Source organism: Homo sapiens, chromosome 6, assembly GCF_000001405.40.
Source record: "Homo sapiens chromosome 6, GRCh38.p14 Primary Assembly".
Taxonomy (NCBI): Eukaryota; Metazoa; Chordata; class Mammalia; order Primates; family Hominidae; genus Homo; species Homo sapiens.
Window position 1 is genome coordinate 131,151,488 of NC_000006.12, and position 21,168 is coordinate 131,172,655.

The 21,168-nt window shown below is 37.7% G+C and overlaps 1 protein-coding gene across 25 annotated transcripts in view, besides 1 other annotated feature; it reads left to right on the forward strand.

The window, feature by feature from the left end:
• AKAP7 (A-kinase anchoring protein 7) overlaps nucleotides 1–21,168 on the forward strand; it is a 157,906-nt gene that overhangs the window by 25,861 nt on the left and 110,877 nt on the right. For 22 of the 25 annotated variants that reach the window (NR_164833.1, NR_164832.1, NR_164834.1 and 19 more), the window contains 3 exons: nucleotides 8,572–8,711; nucleotides 13,594–13,730; nucleotides 17,626–17,786. Coding sequence is in view for 18 of the 25 variants with exons in the window: in XM_017011509.2 (XP_016866998.1) it covers nucleotides 8,572–8,711; nucleotides 13,594–13,730; nucleotides 17,626–17,786 (438 nt within the window). In the remaining 7 variants the exon portion in view is untranslated. Of the gene's footprint in view, nucleotides 1–2,467; nucleotides 2,510–8,571; nucleotides 8,712–12,910; nucleotides 13,046–13,593; nucleotides 13,731–17,625; nucleotides 17,787–21,168 lie in introns of those variants that run through there. The other 3 variants (NR_170717.1, XM_017011510.2, XM_017011511.3) reach the window with 3 other exon arrangements.
• Nucleotides 12,549–12,749: a silencer, noted in NCBI's record as "peak6126 fragment used in MPRA reporter construct". NCBI's record gives its function as "represses an SCP1 promoter by STARR-seq MPRAs in K562 erythroleukemia cells {active_cell/tissue: K562}" and the evidence as "EXISTENCE:reporter gene assay evidence [ECO:0000049][PMID:32103011]".

Sequence of the window (21,168 nt, forward strand, 5' to 3'; positions counted from 1 at the left end):
TAATCCCAGCACTTTGGGAGGCTGAGGCGGGTGGATCACCTGAGGTGAGGGGTTTGAGACCAGCCTGGCCAACATGGTGAAACCCTATCTCTACTAAAAATACAAAAAATTAGCCGAGTGTGGTGGCATGTGCCTGTAATCCCAGCTACTCAGGAGGCTGAGGCAGGAGAATCGCTTGAACCTAGGTAATGGAGGTTGCAGTGAGTCAAGATTGTGCCATTGTACTCTAGCCTGGACAACAAGAGTGAAACTCAGTCTCAAAAAAAATATCCTATGAAATATAGAAGATAGTGTTCTAAGTCAATAGCTAAGGAATTTTAGGAATGGTTACTTTGAAGATTTTAGCTGCCTAAATAACAAGAAAAAATAAAATATCAAAACAAATCTAATTCATTCTCAGCCTTTTAGCTAAGAGTAAGTGTGAAAACAGTGAACCCACTATAACGGATGGATGACTTAATTTTTCTCATCATTCATTTCTTTGTAGTTTTTGAGGGAATAAATAGAACTTGAGAAAAAATTAGATAATTTACATAAAATTACACGTGGTGCTTCAGTTAAAAAAACAAATACACGAATCAGAGAGTTACAGCCTTTGTCAGCAAGACCAGATTCATTACTACACATTAAAATGGCTACTGAAATCATTATGAAAATTAACAAGTGGAATAAATTAAATTTGTAAGATGGGTTTATGAGCTGTACTCCAACTGATGACTTTTTTGCTAACCAATGAAGTTACTCTAAATAATCAGTTGAGAGGTCCTGGGCCTGTGGCCAAATTTTTCTACATTTTGTTCTATGGTCATTGATTTTTGAAATTCTAATTGGTAAACTAGATGATTACATAAATATTTTGTTCCTTATATTTTCATATGAAACTAAAAATAAAGAATAATATCCAGTTGTATTTTAGAACCTACATTATAATTTCAAAGTGAGAAATAAAATGGAGTTCAGTAATGAAAAGCACACGGATTTTATACTTTGACCATATATAAATAAACTTTACAGATAAAATCAGAGATGGTATGCAAACAAGAGAGAAGAAATATTGGGGCCGGGCGTGGTGGCTCACGCCTGTAATCTCAGCACTTTGGGAGGCCGAGGAGGGCGGATCACTTGAGGTCAGGAGTTGGAGACCAGCCTGGCCAACATGCGAAACCCCATGTCTACTAAAAATACAAAGATTAGCTGGGCAAGGTGGTACATGCTTGTAGTCCCAGCTGTTTGGGAGGCTGAAACATGAGAATCGCTTGAACCTGGGAGGTGGAGGTTGCAGTGAGCTGAGATTGCACCACTGCACTGCAGCCTGGGCAACAAAGCAAGACTCCATCTCAAAAAAAAAAAAAAAAAAAAGTCCGGGCGCGCTGGCTCACGCCGGTAATCCCAGCACTTTGGGAGGCCAGGGCGGGTGGATCACGAGGTCAGGAGATTGAGACCATCCTGGCTAACACGGTGAAACCCCGTCTCTACTAAAAATACAAAAAAAATTAGCTGGGCATGGTGGCGTGTGCCTGTAGTCCTAGCTACTCGGGAGGCTGAGGCAGGAGAATGGCGTGAACCCAGGAGGTGGAGCTTGCAGTGAGCCGAGATTGCGCCAGTGCACTCCAGCCTGGACGACAGAGCAAGACTCCATCTCAAAAAAAAAAAAAAAGAGAGAGAGAGATTGGGCTCAATGTGTATCAAGTGTATGATAAATCAGCAGGGCTCACGGAATTAAGAAAAGTGTATTACAAGGGTTGGTAAAACTGTACTGTAGCAATAAATACAGGATTCCTTTTTTCCCCATCTGTCATTAGGTATTTTAAAACTACACACTGTCTGTGATGCCTAACAAAAGAAAATTTTAGATTATCCAGTTCAAAGGAAAGTTAAATAGTTATTGGTAAAATTATAGAAAACTAAATAAATTTAGACAAACCATGTCCTACTTTATTTTTGCCTGAAAGTATTCTGGGTTGGGGTTTTACACTATGTCATTCTCCTGATAGCAGAATGGTTAGAGTTGTTATATGTTATAACCATTACCTTGAGAGATTATGATTTTTTTTTTTGCAAAATGGATTTATAGGATGTTTGAAATGGCAAAAATAAGTTGCTACAGATGGGAAGACAGTTTAGTATTAAATAGATAAGGTAGTGTTAAATAGGTAAGGTAGAAAACAACGTAGTGTCAGTGGTCTTTGAAATACTGTGTTAATTCTGTCCCCCTTTTTAGTATTGTTCATATTGGAGTGTGAGTAAAATACAGAAAAAATGATTATATATCTTATCTTCACAGTAAAGAATGTACTATACATGGCCACCCAATAAACAGTGTATGCAAAAAATGGAAATAAAAATTTCATAAAACAATACTTATACTAACTGTGAGCAATATACTATCTACATGACTTCTGTCTCATTCCATTCCATTCTTTAAAAAGTGCTCTTTATTGGCCAGATGTGGTGGCTCACACCTGTAATCCCAGCACTTTGGGAGACCGAGGAACGTGGATCACCTGAGGTAAGGAGTTCGAGACCATCCTGGCCAATATGGTGAAAACCTGTCTCTACTAAAAATACAAAAAATTAGCTGGGCATGGTGGGCACCTGTAATTCCAGTTACTCGGGAGGCTGAGGCAGGAGAATCACTTGAACTTGGGAGGCAGAGGTTGCAGTGAGCAGAGATCGCTCCATTGCACTCCAGCCTGGGCAACAAGAGCAAAACTCTGCCTCAGAAAAAAAAAAGTGTTCTTTATCATCTTCTAAGTTGATTTCATAACCCACTAATGGGTTGATGCTTGCAATTTGGGAAAAAAATAACCTAGACGGTAGGTTTATGAGTCTCAATCTTGAATCCATTATTTAATATCACCGCAAATTGTCGTAATTAGTACAAGTGTTAACAGTTAGTACCTTTACCACAAATCACAGAAAGCTAGAACTGGAAGAGACCCCCTAGAGAGAGATTGTCTAAACGTTCCTCCCTGTCCCTGTTTTTTTTTTTTTTTTTTTTTTAATGTTGCATTGTAGAAACTTTGAAGCATATATTAGAGAAAATAGGAAAAGAAGCCTCATGTATTCATTACCTCTTCTTTACTGGATTATTTTGAGGTAGATCCCAGACATATTACTTTATCTGTAAATACTTTAGTATATTTCTTTAAAAGGTAAAGAATCTTTAAGAAAAAATTCAAAATATCCTTACTATACCAAAAAATACTGGTAATTCTTAATGTCATCAAATAGCAAGACAATCTCTGATTATGTCATAATTTTAAAAAATCTGGATTATTTGAATTAGTTACCAAAATCTATGCACTATATTTCACTGACACATCTCTTGAGTCTCTTTTCATGTATAAATCTCCTTTTTTCCTTTTGGGTATGTGTATGTGTGTGTTTATTGTTGAAGAAATCAGGTTGTGTAGAAGTTTTGCTATTCTGGTTATTTAAAATTTTTTTCTGTCTCTTCTAGTAAACTGGTAGTTAGATCAAGAGGCTTAATTAAGTTTCTGACATTTGTAAGAATGTTCCAAAGATAGTATTTTTTTTTTTTCTTTCTGAGAGACAGGGCCTCACCCTGTCATCCACACTGGAGTACAGTGGCATGATCATAGCTCACCGTAACCTCGAACTCCTGGGCTCAAGTGATTCTTCCACCTCAAGTAGCTGGGATTATAGGTGCATACCACAATGCCTGGTTAATTTCTAAATTTTTTGTAGAGATGGGGTCTTGCTGTGTTGCCCAGCCTGGTTTTAAATTCCTTGCCTTTAGTGGTCCTCCCACCTAGGTCTCACAAAGTGCTAAGATTACAGGCATGAGCCACTGTGCCTGGCCAAAGATAGTATTTTGAATTTCCTATAGTGTGATATCAGTAGGCAAATAATGTTTGCTTGTCTTGCCTTTTTGCAACTTTAAGATTGATCAGTGGCTTCAGGTCTTATTACTCTAAAGTATCTATTATTAAAGTTCCCCATCAGCCTTCCATCTAATGGATCATCCATTGATGGTCATTGGGTTGATCTCTTACTTTGTTAAGCATTTTGAAATGGTGATATTCTAACTATCTTTTTGCATTAATTAGCTTGAAATTTCTATAAAGAACTTTACCTTAGCTAGCTATTTAATTTCCTATATGACTATTTGGTTATAAGGAAAGATGGAATAAATGCTTGACTTTTTTCTGTTATCATCAGATATTTAGAATCGTGTTTCTCTAGATTCCTCCAAAGGTGACCTGTGAGTTTTTGGCTTTAATTTTTTTTAGTATCATTAAGAATGGATGGATTTAAGCATATTTGATGTATTTAACACCACTGAAGTTTATTCTATTTGGTGCCCAAATTGTCCCATCTTTGGCCAATGAGAAGACATTTAAATTGAATTTAGAGATCTTCTCATATGACCCTAGGAGTCTTTGAATTTCCAGAACTCTCATACATTGTATGCTCCAGACCTGGAATCAGCTCTTTCTCCAAGGATTAGTAAGATTTTTAAGTTCTCAGATAAACCTATTAAGTTACTTAATTAAAAGATGCTTGTTGGAAATCTAGTCTTCAGGTCATTGGCCTTTTCACTATCCAGTGCTGCCTCTATAAATTGAAACACACAGTACTAGTCATTTTCTCAACTGCTGTTTTCCCTTCTATCTTTTGTATTTTTTTCCCAGTACAGTACAGGTTGATAGCTGCCAGATTCACCATCCCAGCATCCTGTGTTGCTTGGGGTTAGCCCTGTGTGGTGATTTGGACAATGAAATATAAGGGGATGGATGCTAGGAACTTATTTAGAATTGATTTGTAATTTTACCTTAAAAAAAGGGGGTCTTGCTTTTGAAATTTATTTTTCAACATTATATTTAATTTAAAAAACTGTTCAGGGATGGGTGTGGTAGCTCATGCCTGTAATGCCAGCATGTTAGGAGGCTAAGGTGGGAGGATTGCTTGAGCCCAGGAGTTCAAGACCAGCCTGGGCAACATAGTGAGACCCCCACCTCTACAAAAAATGAAAAATTAATGAGCTGTGGTGGTGCATACCTGTAGTCCCAGCTACTTGGAGAGGCTGAGGTGGGAGGATCATTTGAGCCCCAGGAGTTCGAGGTTACAGTGAGCTATGATTGCATCACTGCACTCCAGCCTGGGTGACAGAGTGAGATCCTATCGCAAAACAAAACAAAAAAATAACAAAAAAAGAACTGTTCAGGGCAGCTTTTCATTTTCCATACTCATAGAAGGTGCAAGTGGTCTAGATGAGTAAAAACAATGGAGAGTTTATAAATCATCTGTTTCTTTTTGGAGTTTCCTTTTTTTTTTTTGAGATGGAGTCTCACTCTGTCACCCAGGCTGGAGTGTGCAGTGGTGCAATTTCGGCTCCCTGCAAGCTCCGCCTCCCGGGTTCACGCCATTCTCCTGCCTCAGCTTCCCGAGTAGCTGGGACTACAGGCGGTCGCCACCACGCCTGGCTAATTTTTTTGTATTTTTAGTAGAGACGGGGTTTCACCGTGTTAGCCAGGGTGGTCTTGATCTCCTGACCTCGTGATCCGCCCGCCTCAGCCTCCCAAAGTGCTGGGATTACAGGCATGAGCCACCACACCCAGCCTGGAGTTTACTAAATGTTCTTTAGCAGATACAGATTTATCTTCCTAATTATGTTTAGTTCTGAGTATTATCTAATAATTATAATAGCTAATAATAGTGTTTACTTTGTACCAGGAAGTGGTCTAAATGTTTTTATGTATTAACTGACTCAATCCTCAAAAAGATCCTATGAAGTAGCTATTATTATTATTCTAAAATTACACAGGGAAACTGAATAAAGAGAGTTTATGTGCTCATCTAAAATCACACAGTCACACAGCTAGTATGTGGGAGAGCCAGGATTCTAACCCAGGTGCTCTGGTTCCAACTATATTAAAATTGGCTTTCATTTTCAGAGTACTAATTTATTAACAGTAGGTGGTGGTGGGCTAGAAGTGTATTTAGAAGTGGATTTAAAATATATGTGTTCTTCATTAGCATATTTTGTTACTTCTGTTTAAAATTAGTATATTCATATTACTGCAGTTAGATGTAGGACCTTTTCTTAGATGTGTAAAATTGCAGGCAGCCCAGTGATATATTCATTTGATTTGCTGTATTAAAACTCTTACGTAAGAAATAAAACCCAATGGCATCATGAATGAGACAATTCACATAATTCTTATAACACAGATAAAAATGCTACAAACTATTTCTTAGTAATAAAATCTGTAAAGTTCTGATAAGGTTAGGTGTGTAAAAGAAGCTAATAATAATTTATATTTTAAACGTGTATCCTCTAATCATGAAGAGCTATCATTAGCCACATTAATCATTAGACATATTGTTGAGAGATATAGTGATGAAATAGATGCACGAACACACCAGATAAGTTTGCCTTAATTCATAATGATATGGTCAGATATATTGCCGAGGCCACCTTGCTCTTAGTTTACCCCATTTTGTAGGTCTTACAAATATATGTTGTGGAAAGAAAACATATCTATTTCTACACACTCTTAGCTTTTTAATTTTAAACACGCTGTACTATTTTTCTTAGAAATTAGCATTAAAATACTATTTGAGGCATTAACTTAAAATTGTTTACTATTAATATCTCAAAGAGAAACAGAATAAGAATTATTTTTGCTCTGTGGTTTTATGTGTAATGTTAACTAGTTGTGCAGAACTTCAGTAGAGAAGCAATTTGATACAGTAGCAAAGTTTTTCTGCTTTTCTGTTTTATCGTGTAAAATAAGGGATTCAGTTAAAGCAGGGTTGCATATGCACACAGGCATTGGGCTGTGGGTTGAGCCCAGACTTCTTTTCACAATCCTTCTTAAGGCATTGTGTGCAGGCAGTTACTGTGGTCTATTAGAGGTGATCCCAAAGATGAAACCAACCGAATAGGATTGAATGTAAGGTAAAGTGGTTCTTTCCTTCCTTTTTCAAAATAACACCTCAGAAAATATATCTGAATTTTCACAAAGTCTCTGTGAGGTACTCTATTTTGTTTTGTTTTGTTTTGTTTTTTGGAGACAGTCTCACTCCATTGTCCAGGCTGGAGTGCAGTGGCATCGTCTTGGGTAACTGCAACCTCAGCCTCCTGGGTTCAAGCGATTTTGTGCCTCATCCTCCCAAGTAGCTGAGACTACAGGCTTGTGCTACCATGCCTGTCTAATTTTTGTATTTTTAGAGGAGATGGGGTTTCACCTTATTGCCCAGGCTGGTCTCACACTCCTGACCTCAAGTGGTCTTCCTGCTTCAGCCTCCCAAAGTGCTGGGATTACAGGTGTGAGCCACCATGCCCTGCAGGGGAACTGTATTTTGAACAGTAAACTACTATTCAAGAAGACATGGCTTGGAAGCTCAATTAATGGATTGTAGTTTTGCGTGCATATGGAAGCCCTGATAGAATCTGTTAAAAAAAAAAAAAAGATGATGGCATTTCACACAGATTTAGTAATTATTTCTGGGAGCATGCTTTGTAATTAGAATTGTTAGATGTTGTAAATGAGTCTTACAAGGATTACTTTAAAAAGTGGTATTGTAAACGCTTCTCAGATGACCTTTTGTTAAGGATCAGTTTATTTTATTTTATTTTTTATTTTTTATTTTTGAGACGGAGTCTCCCTATGTCGCCCAGGCTGGACTGCAGTGGCGCCATCTCGGCTCACTCCAAGCTCTGCCTCCTGGGTTCATGCCATTCTCCTGCCTCAGCCTCCTGAGGAGCTGGGACTACAGGTGCCCGCCAGCACACCCAGCTAATTTTTTATATTTTTAGTAGAGACGAGGTTTCACCGTGTTAGCCAGGATGGTCTTGATCTCCTGACCTCGTGATTCGCCCGCCTCGGCCTCCCAAAGTGCTGGGATTACAGGCGTGAGCCACCGAGCCTGGCCAAGGATCAGTTTTTAAAAAAAAATTTCCTGTTTGTTGCCAATGGATACTTTTGTAAAATACAATAAAAATGAAATTATTAGAAAATGAAATAAAAGAAAAGACCTACAAAGTAGGAATCAAAATTCAGCAGACCAAATTATTCTGCCCCATTGCTATGGAAGTTTCCAAAGCATTCTCTTAATTTTTGCAACAAATAGTTTATAGTGTGACAGTGGCCCCAGACCAAAACTTTGTGTGGCAGTAGGGTTATACCCTAGAAGTTACAAACATACCTATACAGGATGGTTGAAGAAATGATCTTTCTTAGTGTTATGAACATTGTGGTGCCGGGAGCTGTGCTTCAGATCATGAGTCAGCTCACTATGGCCCTCAGGCCAAATCTGGTTAACCACCCTGCTTTGAAAATAAAGCAGGAACACAACTGTACCCACTCATTTATGTTTTGTCTACAGCAGAGTTGAGTAGTTAACGGCAGAGACTATGTCATCTGCAATGCCTAAACTATTTACTATGAGGTCCTTTACAGAAATGTTTGCAAACTCCTGCTTTAGATTTGAAAATGACACTGATGAATGATTGCTACTTATATATTGCTTGTTTTTTTTTCTGACTGTATTATCTTTGTTTAAATGTATTAGACGTATTGTTTGACTTTTTTCCTCTAGTCACTGATGAACCTCAAATAAATTTGAAGAGAAGTCAAGAAAATGAATGGGTCAAGAGTGATCAAGTAAAGAAGAGGAAAAAAAAGAGAAAAGATTATCAACCCAACTATTTCCTGTCCATTCCAATCACCAACAAAGAGGTGCTATTTTTAAAAAGTTATTTTTACTGTGAAATTTTATTCTAAATTTAAAGTACAACTAAATGCTTATTAGCCCACTTGCTCTTAGCTTTTAAGAGTATTTGGTGGCATTTTAGCAGGACTGTCCAGGGAATATTTCTGTTTAAGTAATAGAAATGTATTTAAACAACAGGTTTGGAAAATATCATTTGTTTTTCTGAGACAGGGTCTTGCTCTGGCACCCAGGCTGGAGTGCAGTGGCACAGTCATAGCTCACTGCAGCTTTGAACTCCTGGACTCAAGCAGTCTTTCCACCTCAGCCTCCAAAAATATTTAGACAATCATATTTAAACGGTAATTTTGCAAAATCCACTTGAAAAAGTGTTGCCAGATGGCATGTCAAGGTCATTTGCAAGTGTTTGTTCATTTTATCTGAGGGAACTTTTGGAAGTAGAGAGAAATGACCAGTTGAAAAAAGAGGATTCTGAGATCTCTGTTGGGAAGGTAAACTGGGGTTTCTTGCTGCTTAATCTTGTTTATTATAGTGATTATTTCAACATAGTTTCTTTAAAAAATTACTCAGTATTGTAACAACTTAATATTGCACCATTAAACTTGGTAAAAATCTATTAAAATCTGAAAAATTAATGCAATAAATAATAGGAAATGGAACTAGCCAGTTAGCTCATACTGAGAAACCCCTGAGAGAGAAAACTACTGCATCTCATTACAACCACTGAAGCGGTGAGGTAGGAATTAAAATCCCTCAGGAAAGAACACCTCACTTGGAAGACTGACTGTTTTTACCCTTTGGCCCAATTACGAGCCAGATTTGAATTTCTGTTTGATTGTGGGTGATAATCTCTTTGACCAGGCACATTTCCACATTGCCTTTCCCCTTGTTTAACTAGAATGTCTCTAGGGAATGCTAACAAATTGTTAAAAATCAAATCAAAATTAAAATGAAAGAAATATCAAAAGAAAAAATAAATTATTTTGGGTCATTCTAGGAAATATCTAGTCTGTGAGACACAGTTTAGCTGGGGAGAAGATATACATAACAAGAGAAGAGTTACCTAGCCATATAAGATTTTAGATTTGATGTACTGAAGAATCATATTCTGATTTTACTGATACATATTTGATTCCTTTGGTTGAGGAATACTTTTTAAAAGTCCTAATAAGGGCCAGGTGTGGTGGCTCATGCCTGTAATCCCAGCACTTTGGGAAGCTGAGGTGGATGGATCCCTCGAGCCCAGGAGTTTGAGACCAGCCTGGGCAACATGGCAAAACCCCATCTTTACTAAATATACAAAAACTAGCTGGGCATGGTGGCTCACACCTGTGGTCCTAGCTACTTGGGAGGCTGAGGTGGGAGGATTGCTTGAGTCCAGGAGGCAGAGGTTGCAGTGAGCCAAGGTTGTGCCACTGCACTCCAGCCTGGGTGACAGAGCCAGACTGTATCTCAAAAAAAAAAAAAAAAAAAAAAAAAAAAAAAAAAAAAAAATTAAAGGTCCTAGTGCAATAGTCATTAAAAGTGTTTAGGCAATACAAAGTTAGTGTAATCAGCAATTATACATTTTATTAAAATACTTGCAAGTTTGGTTTGAAATTTAGGATCACGTATACCTGTGGGGATTAGAAGAGCTCAGGGAGTGAAAGGTGCTGCTGCTTTCATGAGCAGCCAGACAGAAGCCAGGTCCTAAGGACACTGAATGTCAGACAGTTGAAGTGACTTCCCTATGGACACATGATTTGTGATTGGAAGAGAATCCAGGTTCTGTATTTTGATTTGACAGATGTTCGATGAACACCTCTGGGTGTCACTTTCCCTAGGCCGCTCATTTTCTGCTTCTCCCTTCACCTGTATTCCTTACTCCTAGGGGAGACTGAGCAGCATCTCTGCATCACCCCCATGTCTGCCCTCTCTCCCCTCCTAGCTGTGTTATGGCTTCTTACCCCTTCCGGAGAAGACTGATGGGATGATGTGCTGATGGGATAGGGAAGGTGGGGAAGGGGATTGAGAGGAAGGAAGAGAAAAAAATTCTTTCCTTTCACCACTAACTTCTAGGCTTTGCATCACAAAGGTGAAGGGAGAAAGGGGATGAGAGTCCTGTCCGCAGCTTTTAGTTTTCATCCTTTAACCTGCTGTAGCCTTTGTTTCTGCCTCTCTACCCCTGTAAAGTTGTGTAGATGCTGGAAAGAGTGCAGGCTTTGGGTCTGACAGACTTGTTAGTCCCAGCTGAGTCACAGACTCCGCTGCATGTGCAGGTCAGGTTACCTAAATTTTTCAAGTTTCAGTTTGTTCAGGTGTAAAATGAGGTGGGTGATAATACCTCCTTTAGATGACTATTTTTTAAACCCGAATATAGCCGTGTCACCAACCTGCTTATATACTTCAGGATTTTCCCATCGATAGGATAAAGACAACCTCTTTTCCATGTTCTCTGAGGTTTTGTCGTTGTTCGTCTCTCCTTCAGCCCTTGCTTTTTCTGCCCGAGCTCTTCTACCCTTCCTTGGGCTTGCCAGGTTCCCTTGGCCCCAGGAAAAGCCTTCTCTGGCTGGAGCTTTCTCTTTGCTCCTCTTGGTTTTGTTAATGCCGGAATCTCAGCTCAAACCTCTCTACCCATGACCACCTCGTCTAGGTCAACTATCCCTTTCCTTGCCCCATTCCTGTCAGCTAAAGGCTTTCACAGCTTTCTGTATGCCATTTGTCATCCTTGCAACTTGACACTTGTCTTCCTCACAAGGTTTTTAGTGCATGCCCATACCTAGACTGGTGTTTGTTCAAGAGTAGGTGCGCACACATACACGCTCTTTCGCTCTCGCTCTCTCTCTCTCTCTGCTGCTGTTTCATGGCAAAAGCGTGTTTCTGTCATTCCAAGTTATAACCAGAATACTTAAAAATAATAAATACAGTGTAATGGTGGTTTCATAATACAGGTTCAACAGCAGTTACTGGTTTTGGAGGAGGTAGGGTAACTTATAATAGAGGGAAATGCAGGTTTCAAGTGACCTTGAAACCAAATAATGTAATGTTTCCTTTTCAAGAGACTTATTTGTAGTTAATCACTTAGAAAGCTTACATACAAATATGGGGAAGAGATGTAGTCAGGCAAGATTAGGAGTTATATTTTGTATCTTCTACATGAGCACATTTTTGTTTGTTTGTTTTAAAGTGTCTAATGTTAATTTTCTTTTTAAACTACTTATGAGCTTTTGTGGGAAGGCTTGGGAAAAGAATTAGCATTTATAACATTGTTTCAATGGAAGACTGTATTCCAAGTTCCAATTAAGTGACCTGCAAACAAGCTTTTGGAAGCTAGCACATTCACAATGAGTTGCTCTACTTTTGGCCTCTACGTGTTGGCATCTAGTTTTAAAGAAAAAAGTATCCAGAATTCCACTGGTCTTTGATTTTAAACACATTCTTAGAAGTTCGGAATTCTTTATTAGTGGAAAATCTTGATTTCATATTTTAAGCAATAGAATTGGAAAGTGGATTAGGATGGCTGCATACAAATATCCTAATTGGAAGTATATGAAAATATGTGTTTCCATTAACTTTCAATTGCATGTTAGTTTAAAAAGAAAAGAAGAAAACATTTTGATGGGGGTACAGTAAATCCTAAATGTTTCTTAGGTGAGCTCAGATATGGAGGGTGGTTAGACACCAAGGGTGGGGGATTTCTTGAAACTGACATAGCAGCATTCTTGCTCAAACTAAATTCTACAAGGACAGAGAGAGAAGCCCATGGTTAGGCCTAGTCAAGCAGAAGACTTGGAGGGGCCTGACTAAAGTTTTGGTCAAAGGAGAGAGTCTGTCAATGGGAAGTGAGATCCAAGGACAGCATCTCATGATTTGCACAATCACATTCCGCAGATAATGGGAACATTGTTCAGGATAAAACAGCTACTTTGGTATCAGAACAGTTTGCTATGCTCATGAGTCAGTTTTTTCTTATCTCTGCTTTTTTATGGATTCTGCATTGACTGTCAGCCCCCACTCTTTCCCTTTTTTTCTATTGTGCTGCCTCAGGGCTTCTGTCTTCTGTTCCCTTAGGGCTTCTCTGTGCTCTCTTTTCTCTGTTGTTTTTTTTCTGGGTTTGCTATTTTGTATTCAGACTACTTTCAAATGTACTCACATTTAGAAGTTGACTAGAATTGCATCTAACTGGAAGTGGAGGAGGGAAGATGCATCATTCCTCTCCCTGTTTCAGAGGAGCAGGTGCTGAGAGAGGAAGGGAGATGGTGGACCAGGTCTGTGGGGATTTCTCCTGGATGCAGATTCTGTTTTTCTAATGTGTGCATTTGGACTTCTTTGCAACTCTTCATGGTAATGCCCCTCCCCACAGGTATGGAAAAATGACAGTAGTCATTTCTACTGAAATTATTGCTGTCGTAAAAAATCTTAAAGGCCATGAGGAACGGGTTCACAGACACATTCACTTGGAGACAAATAATTATTGCTTCTAACAGAAATGGAATGTTGTCTGCTGGCTTGACCTTTCTGTGGCAAGAATAAAGCCTTATTCTTAGGAAAGATCATAGTTATTGAGTCATATTGGGTATTCCAAGGACAAATTTCTGAAAAGATGCAGGGCCATTGAGAGGTTTTTCCAGTCAGATAGCAATCTGATCTGCAAAATAAGGGTGTTGGGTTCAGTACTGTTAAGATAGACAATCATCATGCTTTAAAACTTACACATCCTTTTAAGCTGTCCCAGTCAACTATCTGTTTGAGAACAAGTAGACAATTAAGCATTCATTTGGTTGAAGAATCTTAACATTGTTCTAATTTTGGTTGTTGCTTATTTTTCTTCTTGATTTTACATTTTACCATAAAGAAATTTTGCTTACCTAATCACTGGAATTTTTTTTATATGTGTGTATGTGTTATTAGATTATAAAAGGAATTAAGATCCTGCAGAATGCAATAATACAACAAGATGAGCGACTGGCCAAAGCAATGGTCAGTGATGGTTCCTTTCATATTACCCTGCTGGTGATGCAATTATTAAATGAAGATGAAGTAAACATGTGAGTAATGTATCTTTCTTAAATATAATTTTCCAAATTATTACTTTAATATGAGTAAGCACAGCAGAACCCAAAGAGACATTCTAAATTTTAAAGAAGTAGTCTCTATACAATTTATTCCAATTAATAGTTAATATACAGAATAAACTGTATAAATATTCTTTTTAATCTAAACTTTTAAACTCTGTTATGGTTATCAAGTGGTAGCCCTTGGTTATGTAATTGTTTTGTCCGTGCTCATAATATAAGCACTCTGGACTTGACCATTTAGCTTAAAATTCTAGATACATATTCTGGAATCATGGCAAAACCACCTCTTATTATCTGCCTTACTTTGGGCAAATCATGTACTTTCTAAGTAAATGAAGAAAATAATAGTACCAATACATGCAAGAGCTCTTTGCCTGGGGCCTGGCACATAGTAGGCACTCTATTATTAGCTATAAGAGCTGCCATTTTACTAAGCCACTGGACAATTTCAGTTTCATCTTAGTCATTTTTAGAGTCACTGTACTCTACCTACCCCCACCGCCCCCATGCCAGGGTTCTGCCATAAAGGTTGAAGACAACTCATTGATTACTGCTTTCCAATCTGGAAGAAACCTTGTTCTTCCCCCAATTTTCTGGGACATTCTTATCCGTACTTAGATTTTCCCTTCCTCTGTTACCTCCTATATAGCTCACTGTGTTAAGTTCAAGCCTAAGATGTATGGAAAACCAAAGCCAGGATGAATGCAGGTTGCTTTTGTTTTCTACTTTGACAGCTATATTTCCTGAGGGAATGAGGAGCAAGGCTTGAATTAGGAAGGGATTGAGGAAAAGGTAAAATAAAAGGGATAAGATAAAAGACATTAATAACTCAAAATATCTAACCCCATTATGATTATTGTAGTTATGTCTTTTAAACAGTAGAACCTCATGTCTTTAGAGGTCAATCTTATGATCTGTCCCAAGCTGATGTACCCAAAGCAGCCTTGAGCATCCTGCAAGGACAGAGAGGAGGGGAGATTTTACTTGCCTGACTTTGTCTGATCACTTTGCCAATCAGAAGAAAAAAGAAGTTCTCTGATGCTCTTGAAAGAGCATCCAAAGAGAATCCAAAGAAGATACTACGCAAAATGAAAGGTTGAGAGAAGGGAGTAGTGCTCTGTGTGTGTTAGAATGGTCAGGATTCTCCAGAGAAACAGCACCAATAGGAGCGTATCTATGTAGATATCTATCTGTATCTGTCTGTGTAGACATGTATATCTTTATGTAGAGAGATTTATTTTAAAGAATTGTCTCCCATGATTGAGGGAGAAGTCTGAAATCTTCAGGGCAGTCTGGAAGGGAAGAGTTGATGTCGTAGTCTCAAGACCTCAGTCAGTCTGGGGACAGAATTCCTTCTTAGGAGACTCCAGTCTTTTCTATTAAGGCCTTTAGCTGATTGGTTTGGGTCCACCCCTATTCTGGAGGGGCAGAGGTGTCAACTTTTAATTGATGGTGAGGTTCAAGGTGTGACCTCACTTTGGGGCAGCTAGAATGGAATTGATGAGGTTTCTGGGAAGACATTGTTTATGTGAACAATTTATTAAAAGTCTCTGATTTTTAACTTTTTATCCTATACTGTATGTTAGACATCTAGATTGTCCATTTCTTGTCCTATATTGATTCCTAATTTTCAAAGTCTAATATCAAGTTTTAGTTGTTTAATAGTATACTGATCAGTGGATTGGATATGGAATGTGCAGATACTTAAAAAAATCATTAATTTCTTGAGGTAGATGTCACCTAAACTCGTTTGTATCCTTACAGTGTAGAAGAAAGGAATAGAAATATATTAGGCTAAGCCCTGCTGCTGATTTGAAAAGACTTACAAATGTCCTGTCTTAGTTTGAAATACAACCTTTGGGTCTGAACTCCAGTTTGAGAATTTCGTTTCTTATATGCATATACTTTTTACTTACTTTACCTTAAAGAAGCCTTTTCATAAGCCCCTCTTAAAAACATATTCTGTTTAAAATATTTTGAAAGTTAGTGATACTCCCAGTAGACACTGATTCCTTCTTACTCTGTGAATCAGTGGCATCTTATTAGCACAAATTTACTGATTTATACTACTAGAGAACTGGAAAAATGGACCGAATTTAGATCATCTATATTTCTTTAAAGAATAACGACATAGAATTCACTGTCTCTGAAAAGTCTTAACCTTTCTCATGGTCTGCTTTAACATATAGTTTCATTTAAAACAAATATCTTGAATTCCCCCAACTTATAAATGAGCCAGGAATAGCTGTTCTGTTATCACATGCTTTAATTCATAGCACACAGTGAAGGAAAATACTGACTTAAAAGTATGTGCACTGTTTGGATGAACATAACTACAGTTAGGTAATAGTGAATTTAAACTGGATTTGGAGGTACAATGAGAAATGTTGACATTTACATAGATATACTAAAGTATAGTGCATTTGTCATTTCCAAAGCGAAATGACAAATGCACAATACTTTACAATTTTGGAAATGAGAAATGTACCATACTTATAGCTATGTAATTTTTCAGAGAAATGAGACTGAGTATAGAAGTCATAGATGAAAATCAGTTAAAAACTTTACCTGAAGACTAATTTAGAAATACGAAAGATCAAGAAAAATGCTGATTTTTTCAAACACTTGGCTGAACAAATCACTGATCAAAATAATTTAAACGAATAGCAATCCACTGGAAGGGTGTTTTAAAGCCCTGTATGAATGTGCTTAGTTCTTTTTTAAGTAATGGCTGCCCTCTAGTGATATTTCATTTTTTTCTCAAAGTACCTACACCAAAATTCTCTTCAGGATAGAAGTAATTCTGATTTTCCAAATATCAAAAATCTCGTAATGTCCAATTCAATAATATTGTAAACATTTGTTTTTATTAAGAAAAATGTGGCTGGACACAGTGGCTCACACCTGTAATCCCAGCAATTTGGGAGGCCAAGGCAGGAGCATCACTTGAGCCTGGGAGTTTGAGACCAGCTTTCACAGCATAGGGGGACCTCTCTATAAATAATTAAAAAAAAATAGCCAGGCATGGTGGCATACACCTGTGTATTCCAGCTACTCAGGAGGCTGAGGCAGGAGGATCACCTGAGCCCAGGAGGTCAAGGCTTCAGTCAGCTGTGATCACACCACTGCACTCCAGCTTGGGTGACAGAGAACCTGTCTGAAAAAAAGAAGAGAGAAAGAGACAGAAGGAGACAGAAAGAGAGAGAGAGAGAGAGAGGGAGAAAAGAAGAAGGAAGAAGGAAAGATATCGCACTTCTAACACATAGCAGGCGTATAATTGCATAGGCTAAATAGCTAAAGTATATATGGCAAACTTACATAGTTACAATTGGGGAATATAATTAAACTTGTATTTTATTTGAGTCTAAGTATAGCAAATTATCTAATTATAGAGACTGTTATATTTTAAGGGATAGTGTGCTTTAACTTTTATTAGAGTGCCTCACAAATATATGTACTGTAAAAGTATTAGTACTTTCATCAAAAATCTAGAACTTGACACATAATCTAATGTAAGCTCTTGTAGGTACTCAGTTTTTTGGGATATATTTTCAGTAATTTTTTGAGTTGTTCATATAATATTTCACTTGGTTAAAAATCTTTTGGTAAACTGTAAAATAGTGTCTACTTTCATGTCTTTAATAGTGATTATAATTAGGTAAAGATTTCTTTACTTCTTCCATAGTTTTTGTTTAAAACTGTCAGTTTTAATCATAAAGTTTAGATTTAGAAGGTATTTTGAGCCTTAAAATAATTAGTACAAATATCAAAATTCATCTTTCTAAAACTGGTACTTTGTATCTTATTTGGTTTTGTATATTTTATTACTTAATGTGTTACTGAAAAATGTATTATTTCTTACTAGTGGTATTGATGCTCTTTTGGAATTGAAACCATTCATAGAAGAACTCCTCCAGGGAAAACATTTGACTTTGCCCTTTCAAGGGATTGGTACTTTTGGAAATCAGGTTGGATTTGTGAAGCTGGCAGAAGGAGATCATGTAAACTCACTTTTGGAGATAGCAGGTAAAACAGCAACACACTCATATGAAATCTTGTCTGTTGGAGAAGCAATTTTTTTCAATTTTGTAACAGAGACTTGACATTTTTAAATTTTAAAAGATGATGGACTAGACTCAAGTATTTTTTAGGACTGTCCCAATCATAAGTCTGAAGGATTTCAGTGCTTATCATAACATTTGACATACAGTTGGCACTTGGTAGGTACTGAATCAATGAATAGGAGTTATTGGTTGCCTATTCAGAGGCTTGTGGGAGTTGTCATCCCCATTGCAGAGAGCCAGTTGGTGAATCAGCAAGGTTTCCATTTATGCTGCTCCCCTCCACCCAGTCCCCTGGAGGGACTACTCTCTGAGCAGAAGGACCATTGGTGTTAGCAGAAGACCTCATATGTGTTGGAGAACATGTTGCCTTGTGCAGCACAATTGAAAGTGTCAGGGAATTGGAAGCAGAAAAAAAATCATAACCTGGATGAGTGACTTCAGTTTGATCCAGAGATAATAGGTTGGGTATTAGCCTACATGCTGTGAGAAATTTTTATTTTCACTTCATTTCATGTCATGTCATGTCATGTCATTTCATGTCATCTCATTGCAGGTTCAATAATCCTTGGTTCATAACACACTTGCATTATTGGTCTATGCTTGGTCCACTTTTATCTGTGTTTTTTTTTCTTTCTATCTATTATTCCTTCTTTGCTTTTCTTTCTCTGCCCCCTCTTTCCTCTCTTCTTGCTTCCATCCCTCCTTCTCTTTGTGTATCTACGTTTCTCTCTCTATCTCTTAAAAAGCAATGTAATAATAACCTGGGAATGGTGGGAATTGAACAATGAGAACACATGGACACAGGAAGGGGAACATCACACTCTGGGGACTGTTGTGGGGTGGGGGGAGGGGGGAGGGATAGCATTGGGAGATATACCTAATGCTAGATGACGAGTTAGTGGGTGCAGCGCACCAGCATGTCACATGTATACATATGTAACTAACCTGCACATTGTGCACATGTACCCTAAAACTTAAAGTATAATTTAAAAAAAAAAGAAAAAAAAAAGAAACAATCATCTATAGGAATGAATAGAGCAGAATCTGGAAAAAAAGAAAAAAAAAATAATAACCTAGGAATCTACCACCCCAAACAGAAGCTAGTGCTTTGGTAGTAATCTAACCGTATTGTCCTTTCAGTAATGCATCCTTTGGCCTTCCTCCAATTAAGTTCACTGTCATCCTGAAGTCAGTGTTTACTTCCTTTTATTTTCCCAAAGTATATGTATTTTCATTTTAGTTGGTTTTAACTTAATAAAAAGGGCATCTTGTTGTATGTGATCTATTGGGACATCCTTTTCACTTAATATTACATTGCCTCTTTGCAGTTTAATAATTGCCCATTTAAAAGTGTACATTTGGCAGGGAGTGAGGATCAGGTTTCATTGTTGGTTTTTCTTTTGTGTTCTTAAGATATTTGTGATAAATATTTTTGTGAATGTCAGTGTTTATATAGGGCTGGATTATCATACAGATTAATTGTTAGAATGACATTTAGCATAGTGTCAGTTGTGCTGTCTAGTATATGGTTTAAGTTCGCTGAGTTCATTATCCATTCAGATGTATCAGAAGTAGAGCTGTTTAGTTATCTTTATAGTAGAAGATTTCTGTTATGTACTTGAAATACGTTTTACATAACAGCATTTCAATTGGGTTGCAAATGTGAAATTCACTATTGCTGTTATTAGTGACACAGCCGCATTCATTTTAGCAAAGGTTTTTATAAATTTATTACCTCTAAATTTCATTTCTTCTACATAATGTTGGGCCCAAGGAATTATACTTGAGTAGGAAGAATTCATTCCTTTAGCATGCAATTAGCCAGTGCCAACTAGTACTTGGGATAGAAAACTGGAAAAAAAAAAGATCCTTTTCCTTTAAGGAGCATATAGCCTTGTGCAGAAACAAACAGGCAAGCAATTACAGTGCAATATAATAATAACAATAATTTTTGTAGCTAGAGGCAGAGGCACAGAGTATAGCAGGCACATAGGAAGGAGAAGGGGGCGGATTGAGGAAGATTTCATAGGAGAAATAGCGTTTGAGTTGACATTTGAAGGGTAAATACAGGTTTTCTGGTTGGACAAATTGGAGGAGTGTATCCTGGGTAGAGGGAACAGCATATGCAAATAAATCAAGTCCTATTTAGGGGCCTACAAGTAGTTTAGTGTTACTGAAGTATAAATTGCAAATCTAGAGATACCATCAAATGAGATTCGTATGCTAAAGGGAGCAGTGAAGGTAAAATAAGGGCATGAGGAGAGCGGTGAAAGTTTAGAATGGCGACCAAGGGAAATGGAAGGGGAAAGTTTAATAAGCAGCATGTAATGGGGTTGCAGAGCAATGCAGAAGCTGCATTTGGGATGAGTGCAGAAATTTGTAATGGTACTAATCTGTGATCTTCTCAAGTACTATGTAGGATTTAGCTGTGAGAATGGAGAGGGGAAACTGAATTAATCCATACTGGAGCACTTGTATGGTAGGTGTGGTAAAAAGACAAAGGAGCCAGACTGTCAAGAGAGTGGTAGAATGTTTGATGTGATCATTATTGGACGTACATTAGAAAAGGCAGTGAAGTCTGGATGGGACTAATATTTGGAAGGAGAATAGAGTAATAGGGCTGAAGATTAGAGTTAGTAGAAGTTCAAGAGTGAGACAGGAAAATTAGGAGGTGTGATCAGAGAGCAGTATATTGGATTTTATGAATTGAGGAGATTTCTGGTTCATAGAGAGTATGAAGAAACTTTGTTCGTTGACGTCACAAAGAAAAACAAATGATAGCTAGAAGTTTTAAAATCGAGAGAAAGACAAATTATTAGGTTGCATAGGAGAAACTTATAGCTTCAGTGAAGTCCCTAGGTACATGATCAGTATACAAAAACCTATAAATAATTAAAGTATTTTTTAAGAGGCACAATTTTTAATAACAAGAACAGTAGAGACATGTAGGAATAAATCAACTAAAGGATATGCAAGACTTCTATGGAGGAAATATTTTGGCTATTACATCTTTACTAGGTATGTTTATCATAACATTTTTCCCCTTTCCTTTTTTAAAGACAGAGTCTTGCTCTGTCACCCAGGCTGGAGTGCAGTGGTGCAATCATGACTCACTGCAGCCTTGAGCCTCCTAGGCTCAAGCGATCCTCCTGCCTCAGCTACAGGTGTGTGCCACCATGGCCAGCTAATTTTTTTTTTAAGAGTTGGAGTCTCACTATGTTGCCCAGACTGGTCTTGAACTCTTGGCCTCAAGCAGTTGTCCCACCTTAGCCTCATAAAGTGTTGGGATTACAGGCATGAGCCACTGTGCCCAGCCCCTCCTTTCTTTTTCTATTTGTTGCAAG